The sequence below is a fragment of the Homo sapiens genome, chromosome 3 (assembly GCF_000001405.40).
Source record: "Homo sapiens chromosome 3, GRCh38.p14 Primary Assembly".
NCBI classification, from domain to species: domain Eukaryota; kingdom Metazoa; phylum Chordata; class Mammalia; order Primates; family Hominidae; genus Homo; species Homo sapiens.
In genome coordinates this window covers 180660467-180672856 of record NC_000003.12, presented here as the reverse complement: position 1 = coordinate 180672856, position 12390 = coordinate 180660467, and the positions used below count along the sequence as shown (strand labels likewise).

Below are 12390 nucleotides of genomic sequence, written 5' to 3'. Positions count from 1 at the left end.
CATCAATAATGATAAATCCTTTCCAGAAGGTTTTCAATTTACCTTGCTCAGATCCATCGTAGGAATCACTATCTATGGCAGATATAGCCTAACAAAATGTATTTCTGAAGTAAGTCTTGAAAGTCAAAATTTTTTGTTGATCCATGGGCTGCAGAATGTTCTGTTAACAGGCATGAAAACATTAATCTCTTTGTACGTCTCCATCATAGCTCTTGGGTGACCGGGTGCATTGTCAGTTAGCATTAATTTTTTGTTTGTTTGAGATGGAGCCTTATTCTGTCATCATCCAGGATGAGGTGCACTGGTGTGATCTTGGCTCACTGCAACCTCTAACTCCTGGGTTCAAGCGATTCTCCTTCCTCAGCCTTCTGAGTAGCTGGAATTACAGGCATGTGCCACCATGACTGGTTAATTTTTGTATTTTTAGTAGAGATGGAGTTTCACCATGTTGGCCAGGCTGCTCTTGAACTCCTGACCTCAAGTGATCTGCCTGCCTTGGCCTCCCAAAGTGCTGGGATTACAGGTGTGAGCCACCACACCTGGCCCAATGAGCAGTAATATTCCTTTTTTTCTGAGCAGCTGGAATCAAGAGTGGGCTTAAAATTTTCAGTAAACCATGTTGTAAACAGACATGTCATCCAGGCTTTTTTTTCCTATCTATAGAGCACTTGCAGAGTAGATTTAGCACAATTCTTAAGGGCCTTAGGATTTTCAGAATAGTAAATGAGTGTTGGCTTCAACTTAAAGTCACCGGCTGCATTAGCCCCTAAGAGTCAACCTGTCCTTTGTAGCTATGAACCCAGGCATTGACTTCTCCTATTGAGCTATAAAAGTCATAGATGGCATCTTCTTTTAATATATGGCTGTTTCATCTATGTTGAAAATCTGTTGTTTGGTGTAGCCACCTTTATCAATGATCTTAGTTAGATCTTCTAGATAACTTGCTGCAGCCTCTACATCAGAACTTGCTATCTCACTTTGTACTTTTGTGTTGTGGAGATGGTTTCTTTCCTTAAACATCATGAACCCAGCTCTGCTAGTTTTAAACTTTTCTTCTGCAGCTTCTTCACCCTTCTCAGCCTTCATAGAATTGAAGAAAGTTAAGGGCCCTTCTCTGGATTAGGCTTTGGCTTACAGGAATGGTGGTGCATGCCTGTAATCCCAGCTACTCAGGAGGCTGAGGAAGGACAATCGCTTGAACACAGGAGATAGAGGTTGCAGTGAGCCGAGATCACACCACTGCACCTGTAAGCTGATTGTGGCTGATTTAATCCTCTATCTGGACCACTAAATCTTTTGATGCAGGGAAGGCAAACTCCAGAATTGGGGCTTAGCCCTGGAGGGTTCTTGGCTCCACACAGGAAATAATTCAAGGGTGAGCCAGTGGTGTTAGACAGCAACTTTTATTGAAGTGGAAGTATGCAGCAGCAGAGGTACTGCTCCTTGTGGAGCAGGGATACTTGAAAACAGGTGCCCAGAGTAGCAGCTCAGAGGCAGTTTTGCAGTCATATTTATACCCACTTTTAATTATACATATACTTAGGGTCAGATTATGCAGCAGTTTCTAAAACAAGGGTGGTAACTTCCAGGTGATTGGGTTGTTGCTATAGAAAGGAGTGATAACTTTTTTTTTTTTTTTTTTTTTTGACACAGAGTCTTGCTCTGTCACCCAGGCTGGAGTGCAGTGACACCATCTTGGCTCACTGCAACCTCTGCCTCCCAGGCTCAAGCATTCTTGTGCCTCAGCCCTGCAAGTAGGTGGGATTACAGGTGCATACCACCACACCTAGCTAGTTTTTGTATTTTTAGTAGACACAGGGTTTTGCCATGTGGGACAGGCTGGTCTTGAACTCCTGGCCTCAAGTGATCTGCCAGCCTTGGCCTCCCAATATGTTGGGATTACAGGTGTGAGCCACCGCATCCAGCCCAAAGGGGTGATCACTTCTGGGTGTTGCCATGGCAATGGTAAACTGACATGGGACGCTGGCAAGCATGTCTTATGGAAAGCTGCTTCCCCTTCATCCCTGCTTTAGCTAGTTCTCAATTTGGTTGAAGCCCTGCCTTTGAGTCTAGACCCACCTCATATTTCACTTTCTCCATATCAGTGATAAGGCTATTTTGCTTTGTTATCATTTGTATGTTCAAGGGAGTAGCACTTTTGATTTATTTCAAGAAATTAAATGAAAAAAAGTAAAGAAAGCAAAAAAAAAAAAAAAAGAGAAAAAAAAGGCACTGTGGTACTTTACATATACAGACATGAAGCACCATCTGTGGAATTAGAGTAAATGAATAAAATCAGTAAAGTGTGTTTTTCCACTAGTAAAAGTGTGGACCTCTGAATATCAAAGCTTCTTAAAGTATTGGTTTAACCAAATCTTTTGATTTTTAGGACCATTTTACTTGTAGGTGAGAATACTTTGATATAAAGACCTTTCTTTTCTTCTTTGCCTTGGATTCTAGGAAATAGTCATAGAAAATTGTCAGCTTTTGTTTAATGTCACTCATCTTCAGGAATTAATTACACACACACACACACACACACACCCCTTCCATACACACCACTGTACCCAACTTAATTACATGATAATACTTGTACACATCCTTAAAAATATTAAGTATATTACATAATTTTTTTTTTACAAGGCAGTGGTTGTCATGGGCAAAAACAAATTATGAATGTGTATTTCCCAGAAAAGGATATTGAAAGTCTGTAATTAGAGAGGTCTTTACTGTTCCTCTGCATTAGAACATGTTTTTAATGTAGTTATGTCCCCGTTATGAGGAGAAAAAATCCATAAGAACGATCGATTCGTTAATTCAGTGAGTATTAATCAAGAGATTACTATGTGCCAGGAACAATGATGAAAACACTGAAAAAAAGTAACAATGATTTCAGAAATATTGCATAATATTTGGCTGTGAAGTCAGTGCCCCTTTATAAAGACTTTATTTACATCCATCTCTTTCATTAACAGTGCTCAACAGAGCAGTCAACGATCTGATGCAGCCTTGTGACGTGTACATTTTTAAAAATTTTTATAGATACTGGTCAAGATAATCATCACTAAAAAAGCATTTTGTGTAGATAAGGAAATTGTGAAACAGGACAATTACAGGACCCCTCTGACATTTTCCCTATGAGACTTATTTCATTATCCAAGTCATTATCTATTTCATTATCTATTGTGGGAAAATGTATTTCCTTAGGAGGTAGTGAGTACCTAATCAGTGGAAGTGTAAAAGCACTGCATGTTGCTGATGTACATTTTGTAGTCAGGGCAATCTTGGAGGTTTCTTCTAATTCTGGGGTTATAGAAATGCTCTGAATCTGGTCATGTGCAAGTATATTAAGAATTAATTACATAAAAGAAGATCTGAACAAATGGAGACATTTAGATATTTCTGGGTAGGAAGACAATATGATAAAAGTTTCAGTTCTTAAATTATTCTGTATATTCAAGAAAGTTTCAGTGAAAATGCCTAGGGCTCTTTAAAAAACACTTGACAACTCAATTCCAAAGTTCATTTGGAGGTGAAAGTGTGTGATACTAGACAGAATAGTTGTGATGGTGGTGGTAGTATGTTTTGCCCTACCATACTAAAAAGCTATGCTACTCAAAACAGTGTGGCACTTTTGTAAAGATAAATAAATCAGCCAAACACCAGACATCCAGAAGCATATCTTTCCATGTGTGAGAATTTAATATAAAAAGAATGCATTTCAAATCAAAGGAGAGAGATAAACTATTTAATGAATGGTCTATTGCTATTTGTTTTGAAAAAAGAGTTATGAATCTGCTTCCTCTCACATACGAACATGCATTTCATGTGCATTACAAATTTTGCTGTAGAATATGTAATTATATAAGTATGAGAAGAAATTATTGGAGACTTTTAAAATAATCTGGGAAAGGCATTCCTCAGTGTAGCACAAAACATAAAAATCACCAAAGAAAGGACTGACAGATATAACTCCATACAAATCTAAAACTCTTGTAATTCCTATATCTGTTCTCTCTGTGGATTTTTATTGAGTGCTATTATGTTCTAGGCATTACTCTAGATTGTGAATGTCTGGTGAACAAAATGCATATGCTTCTTGCTATTAAGCTTAAGCAAAAAATTTTTAAGAATGCATATGGTTCCTGTTGTCATTCATCTTATAATCTAGTAGCAAAGATAGAAAATAAATAAACAACAAATAGAAACATAGTTACTAATTGTGGTAAGTTGTTTGAAGGTAATTACTAAATGTGAAAAGGTTGCCATGAGAGAAAATAACTGGGAAAAACTGTATTGAATTAAGTGGGCAGGGACGGCCTCTCTAATTTTATATACAAACTGAATAATATGAGGCCCTGAATAATAATATACAACTAGCCATTAGGGAAGAAAAATGTTCTAGGAAGAGACACCAGCATATCTGAAGACCCCAAGTCTGGAAGAGTCCTTGGTTTTTTCATTTGTTTTGTTTTTTTGAGACAGGGTCTCATTTTTTTGCGCAGGCTAGAGTGCAGTGGCATGATCTGAGCCGACTGCAACCTCTGTCTCCCAGGCTCAAGTGATCCCCCTACTTTAGCTTCCTAAGTAGCTGGGACTACCATTGTGTGCCACCATACCCGGCTAATTTTTTTTTATTTTTAGTAGAGATGGGTTTTGCCATGTTTGCAAGACTGGTCTTGAACTCCCGGTCTCAAGTGATCTGTCCGCCTTGGCCTCCCAACATATTGGGATTACAGGCATGAGCCATTGTGCCTGGTTCAAAGGGGTAATAACTTCTGGGTGTTGCCATGGCAAAGGTGAACTGACATGGCACACTGGTGAGCATGTCTTATAGAAACCTGCCTTCGCCTGAACCTGTTTTAGCTAGTCCTCAATTTGGTCTGGTGTCTGAGTCCTGCCTCTGGAGTCTAGACCCATCCCTACCTCACTTTTTCCATTTCAGCAATAAGGCTATTTTGCTTTCTTATCATTTGTGTGTTCAAGGGAGCAGCACTTTTAATTTTCTTCAAGAACATTTCCTTTGTATTCACAACTTAGTTAATTGTTTGGTGCAAGAGGCTGAGTTTTTGGCCAATGTCAACTTTGGGCCTTCATCATTTCTAGCTTTTGATTTTTATACATAGAGGCCATCGCAAGGTTATTAATTGGCCTAATTTCAATATTGTGTTTCAAGGAATAGAGAGGCCCCAAAAGAGGGAGAGAGATGAGGGAGGCCTGATCAGTGGTGCAGTCAGAACAGATACAACATTTTTTGATTAAGTTCATTGTCTTAGAGAGGCACGGTTTGTGGCACCCCAAAACAATCACAATAGTAACATCGACGCTCACTGATCACTGATAACCATAACAGATATAATAATAATGAAAAAATTTTAAATATTGCAAGAGGTACCAGAATGTGACATAGAGACACAAAATAAGCACATGCTATTGGAAAAATGATGCTAATAGACTTGCTAGACACAGGGTTGCCACAAACCTTCACTTTGTTAAAAATGTGCCATTGGAGAAGTACAATAAAGTGCAATGAAATGGAGTGTGTCTGTATTATTCCCTTATTTTGATAGAATAGTTTCTTGTGTCTCCATAAGAAGACTGTTTGAGATGTAAACACTCTGAATCTTTGAATCTCTGAAAATATCTTTATTTACACTCACATCTGATGGTAGTTTGACTGGGTAGAAGACTCTAAGTTGAAAATAATTTTACTTCAGAATTTGGAATGTATCAATTATCTTCCAGCTGTGTTTCAGTTAGTAATCTGATATTAGTCTGATTTCTGTTTCTTTGTAGTTTACCTTTTTTAAAAAAAAACTCTGAAAGTATTTAGGGTTTTATCTTTCCATTGCATGTTTTATTTCGGCAACTATATTGATGAACTATATTTTCAAGTTCTTTGTTGCTTTTTTGTAGCACCATGGTCTTGTTTTAGGGGTAAAATATCTTCTCCAATCTGATTGTGTGTGTGTGTGTGCGTATGTGTAATGTGTATGTATTTAGTTCTTGTCTTTTTTGTCCTGAATTATCTGTTTCTTCTGGGATCTTCTTTGCTTATTTTGGCATCCTGCACATGATGTAAGTTTTCAATAAATATCTGGTGATTGTTACATGTCCCTTTATATTTAAGAAAGAAGCTATAAAATGTTGTTTGGAAACTCTTTGGGGAAGGGCTTTTCAACTTATGGAGAGTTAATTATGCTTTCATTTAAAAGTCAGAAGTTTGCTCTGGGGACATTATGCAATTATAAATGGCATAATTGATGAAGCAAATAAAAGTCATAAAGCTGTATGTACAAAACACAAAAGCTAATTACTTAAAAGCAAGACCTATTATAAATGCAAGTAGACTTTGACAAAAGTACAGTTACAGTGAGCTATTTCATTAATGAGCACCTCAGAATTAGACAACTCTACTAGACAAAAATAAGGATATATGGGATATAATACAATAAAAGTAAAAACATAGAGACACCTGTCTCTTGAATAGATAACATACACCTTAAAACATACCCATAAAACATTTACAAGAGTGGATCATGTACTATACCAAAACAAAATCTTAATGCATTAAAAGTCAATGACGAAACTTGAAAGCATTATGCTAAGTGAATAACCCAGAAACAAAAGGCCAAATATTGCATGATTGCATTTATATGAGGTACCTAGAGTAGTCAAATTCATAGAGATGGAAAGTGGAATGGTGGATGTCAGGGGCTGAGAGGAGCAGGGAATGGGGAGTCAGTGTTTATCTGTATAGAGGTTCAGGGAAGATGAAAAAGTTCTGTAGATGGATTGGTGGTAATGGTTGTATAACAGGGTGAATGTACTTATTGCCACTGAACTGTACACATAGCAATGGTTAAAATGGAATATTTTATGTTGTATATTTTGCCAAAATTAAAAAATTATAATCCCTAAAATGCTGTACAAACAAACATTTTGTAGGTCACATTATTTGATGATAAGCCAATAGAATTTATAATAGATTATTTTTAAATTATTTTTAAAAATTATTAAATAATTAAAAATGATCCTCCGTATTAAATACTTAGGCATGTTTCTGAGAAATATTCTTGGGTGGCCCTTATATGAAAAAGAAATTGAAAAGGAAAAATCACCTTTTAGAAAACAATAAAGAGACTGCTTTATGCCCAGATCCATGGGAAACGGCAAAAATTTTATTTAAAGAAAACATATAGCCTTAAATGCCTTTTTAATTCAATCATTAAGACAAAAAGTAAAGAAACTAAGAACTCATTTTAATAACTTTTTAAAAAAAGAACAGGAAACGAGAGGGAATTAAAAGTTTAATGACACAAAAAGCAAAAAAAAATTTAATATTAGTATAGGACATACAAATGAGTAAATTAGTATTTTTTTCTTAAATTGAAATTCTAATATTTCCTTTCACACTTCCGTGGATTGTGTTGTGTACCCTCAGGAGATATCCCTGACTTTGGGGACTGTAGCTCCAGACCTCAAGAAAGCATATTTTTATTTTGTTGAGCTTATATGCTGCTTTGAGGGACAGTATATTCTAATAATCCTGAGAATCTGTCTTATAATTTCCCAAGGATTTATTTTGTTTAACATTTACACAGTTTTGTTTCCAGTCAGAGTTATAATTCAAAGGTAAACAAAATACATTAAGCAACAGTTTCTAGGTACATAAGAGTCAGTTGTTCTGTTCTCTTAAACTTAGCCCAGTTCAATGGGGTTTGAAAAGGAGTTCTTGGAGAAGAAATCATGCTTGATGCCTTGCGACTATTCACATTTATGGTTCCTGCTCTGTTTTTGTTACATCTTGTTAGTATGCTCTTGTTCGCTTAAGATATCTTGTGGTTTAGGCCAGGTGTGGTGGCTCATGCCTGTAATCCCAGCACATTGGGAGGCTGAGGTGGGCAGATCACCTAAGGTCAGGAGTTCGAGACCAGCCTGGCCAACATGGTGAAACACCTTCTCTACTAAAAATACCAAAAAAAAAAAAAAATTAGCCAGGTGTAGTGGTGGGCACCTGTAATCCCAGCTACTCAGGAGGCTGAGACAGCAGAATCTCGTTGAACTCGGGAGGCAGAGGTTACAGTGAGCCGAGATCGCGCCACTGCACTCCAGCCTGGGTGACAAGAGCAAGACTCCATCTCAAAAAAAAAAAAAAGATCTCTTGTGGTTTAATAATGGAGTAGAATCTCATTTTTGCCCTATAAAAATATAGTATTGCTGTATGAAAAATGCATTTTTGAGTAGATCTGCTACCGCTGCAAATCTAAGAGAGATTTCCATTCCGTGTAATATGGTGCTAATTTTCCCACAGCAATCTCCAAATCACAACACTATTTTATAACATTTAAAGAATTAGTAGATTTTAGAAGTTCATGTGGACATTTAAAGAAACAAAATGCTATGTTTTTAATGTTTGTGTCCTCCCAAAATTCATATGGTGGTCTCAATCCTCAATGTGATGGTATTTCGAGGTGAAGCCTTTGAGAAGTAAACAGGTCATAGAGGTAGAGCCCTCATGAATGGTGTTGGTGCTCTTTTAAGAAAAGACAAGAGGGAGATGATCTCTTTCTCTGTCATGTGAAGATACAGCAAGAAGGCATCTGTCTGCAAATAAGAAAGAGGGCCCTCACCAGGAATCATATTAGTTGGCACCTTGATCCTGGACTTCCTAGCCTTCAGAACTGTGAGGAATTTCTCATGAATCAAATTAAATTTTGTTTAAGCTACCTAGTCTATGATATTTTTGTTATAGCAGTCCAAATTGACTAAGACAATGTAAATGAAAATTTAATTTTCTTTGATTTTAGGTCCTTCATATGGTAAAACTTAATAGGACTTTGGTTAATCATAGTATTTATTATTTACAGTTGTCAAAGCTGAAGGATGAAAGAGCAAGCTTGCAAGATGAGTTACGTGAGTATGAAGAGCGAATTAATTCTATGACTTCTCACTTCAAAAATGTTAAGCAAGAGCTCTCAATTACACAGGTACAGTAACTGAAATTTATGTTGATTATATCGTGTAGTCATGGAACATCTCATAGTATATTTACATCTGCGATTTTTACAGCTATAATAGGAAACCTTAGCATAATTAAACTATTGTGAACATAACCTTGAACATGAAAGTAGATAGAAAAAGGCTTAGAGGAACTAACTACTGGTCCAATTTTTTTTTTTTTTTTGAGATGAAGTCTCGCTCTGTTTCCTAGGCTGGAGTACAGTGGCGTGATCTCAGCTCACTGCAACCTCTGCCTCCTGGGTTCAAAAGATTCTCATGCCTCAGCCTCCCGAGTAGCTGGGATTATAGGCACCCACCACCCCCAGCTAATTTTTGTATTTTTGGTAAAGATGGGATTTCACCATGTTGGTCAGGCTGGTCTCGAACTCCTGACCTCAGGTGATCCTCCCGCCTCAGCCTCCCAAAGTGCTGCGACTGCTCCAATTTTAACCAAAAAATTAATCCATATGAAAGGAGAAATCATTATTCAAACAATCTGTATTAGACAGCAGGTTATTTGAGAAAGGTACAATGATGGTGGTGAGAAATGATGGCTATAAGCAGAAACAGAACTAATATAATACATAATAAAATTTCTGTCTCCTTTTTAATTTTTCAGCACAACTCACTGGGGCCATTTTGAGTGGAGGCCAGTAGTCTACACATCTTAGCATTGTTCAAGAATTGAAATTCATAATAATAATCCTGAGATTAAAAAGTTAGATTATACTTAAGAGACTTTATTTAAGATAACTGGGGAAGACATTAGGCATCTTAGAAATGTTAACATAAATATAATAAAAATTAAAACTTGTGGTTATTAAGTAAGCTTCATAATCTGTTCAAGTGTAGAAACTCACTCCCTAATGATGCCCAGCAAACCAGGCAGCTCAGCAAACAGCATTGGAGAGTTTTCTAACTTCTGTCTCAAACTAGTTTTTTTAAAGTGCATCTACTGTCTGAGAAATAGTATGTAGTTTCAAAAAAATGAACAGTGCCATATTTTAAAAAGCAATTTATAATCAATATAGATAAGTATTTCATGACTTACAAGTCTTATTAGAAAGTTACAAATTTAATAAACTTAAAAACAAACTCAGAATTCTTGAATCTCAATGTGATTGAGTAATTGATAAACTATTTGGAACAACACTTTTCCTTAAGTTGTTAAACTACTGAGCTGGGGATTGGAGAGGCAGAGACTCTGTAGTTGTATCTTATTATCATCAAACCTCAAATGAATAGAGTAATAGAGACAAAAGAATAATAAACCTCCAACAATGGTAGCTTTAGTACTGTAAAATTAATACTAAGTGATAACTTTGAAGCACTGTAAAATTAGTTAACACATACTCTTTTATTACATAAAACTGAACATAAAGATGTGATTATATGCTAATATATTCTAGAGAATATTCACAACCATTGGTGTTTAAATAATTATTTAAAAATAATGTCTGTTAATTAGAATATGTGATCAATTCATATAAAACATGTCATTTCTCAACTGTTTTTTAATGGATATTTCTTATTTGTAGATAATAAGTTTTAAGTCTAACTGAAACTTTGGTTTTCTTTAGTTTTCCTAGACCAGCGTAGTATCTGAAAACTATTGACAGTATTTTCTCCTAGCACAGTTCATTGACTTTCTTACAACTAGTGAGCAACACCAACTATATTGTAATCACAGTCTAATGTAATGTAGATTTTAGAGTAGTGGAATTAGTAGTACTTAATGTAAGCAATTTATGGGAACTTTGTTTTAATCTAATGGATTATTATAAATATTTGTATTCAAAATTTCTAAAATTTTAAAAGCCTTTTTATCTTGTGTGTTATTCTGTAGTCTCTTTGCAAAGCAAGGGAGCGTGAGACTGAAAGTGAAGAACATTTTAAGGCCATTGCTCAAAGAGAATTGGGACGAGTGAAAGATGAAATTCAACGGCTGGAAAATGAGATGGCTTCAATACTGGAAAAGAAAAGTGATAAAGAAGTATATGTTGAAATATTACTTAAAATTCTGTGCTACTGCTCATTCTTCCATCACCAAATGAGCATTGACTTTTTTTTTTCTTGTATGGGAAAGGCATACATTAGTTTCCTAGTGTTTACTTACGTATTTTTTGGACAGTGAAAGGCACATGGAGCTGTGATTTGAATGAAACAATAATAGAATAGTACATTTTCCCATTATTCATTCATCAGCTACTTACTGAGGCTTACTATATGCAAAGTACCATGCTTGCTGCCTGTTATAAAATACTAGGCGTGGTTTATATGTAAGTGTTAGATTTTTAACAGCCACATTTTAAAAAATACTTTTAGTTTTGAATTTCATTTAAAATATTGACCTTTCATATTGATTTATCAGTTTTGTGACTCTAACATTAAACTACTTTAACCTATTTCTGTCTTTTCTTTAGTTTATAGTTACTTGATTTGGGAGCTCTTTCCAAATTCTGATTCTTCTCTTTACATGTGCATATACATATGGAAATACACTTACATATTTTATAATGTAATCTTTGTGTATAATTACATACTTATTAATTTGTATTTGTTTATATAGTTGTCTCTGTTTTTTTATGAGTCTAGATTTGTTAAGTGACTAAATATACATAAATGTTTTTATCTCTTTTACTATATTTACTTCAGTTAGAAATGTTTCCAAAATTTCTCTATAAGAGACTTCTTAGGGCAAACAATATGATTGGAAATGGGGCTGAAGGATACTTGTCTTGGATTTGAGTTAGCATACCAAACATATTATTTTAATTATGATTGCATATATATTTGGGGTGGCTTTGGTGGAATGATTAATGCAGTTGCTGTGAGGGAGCTACCTTAAAGCCTAAAGGCTTTTAAAGCAAGCTTTGGCTCAACTACTGTTCTTGACTTTGTATAGTCATCTCTCCTCTATTTTACAATGAAAGAATTAAGATACAAGCTATATAATTATAGTTTATATTATTAAAATATGGCATATTATAAACATCTGGAAGGCAGGGACAGGATTTCCTCATTTTTAATTTTGCTCCATAGTATATAAAGGTATGTTTTATTTTAGTCTGTATAGTAAGTAATGTTTTGTAATCTCCCCTTTTCTCTCTCTCTTTGGAAATTAGAATGGCATATTTAAAGCCACTCAAAAATTGGATGGTTTGAAATGTCAAATGAACTGGGACCAGCAAGCATTGGAGGCCTGGTTAGAAGAATCAGCTCATAAAGATAGTGATGCTCTCACTCTCCAGAAGTATGCACAACAAGATGATAATAAAATCAGGGTGAGAAATTACAAATTGTAACTGTTAGGTTTTCTCTAACTCTGTAGTATGTCAACCTATTTACCTAAAGTTATACTTAGGATTTTTAAGGCAGCAATTCTTA

The 12390-nt window shown here is 35.5% G+C and overlaps 1 protein-coding gene across 1 annotated transcript in view; it reads left to right on the top strand.

The window, feature by feature from the left end:
- CCDC39 (coiled-coil domain 39 molecular ruler complex subunit) overlaps positions 1–12390 on the top strand; it is a 65482-nt gene that overhangs the window by 6633 nt on the left and 46459 nt on the right. Inside the window, exons 2-4 of the mRNA NM_181426.2 lie at positions 8871–8990; positions 10850–10996; positions 12129–12287. Coding sequence (NP_852091.1) covers positions 8871–8990; positions 10850–10996; positions 12129–12287 — 426 coding nt within the window. The remainder of the gene's footprint in view (positions 1–8870; positions 8991–10849; positions 10997–12128; positions 12288–12390) is intronic.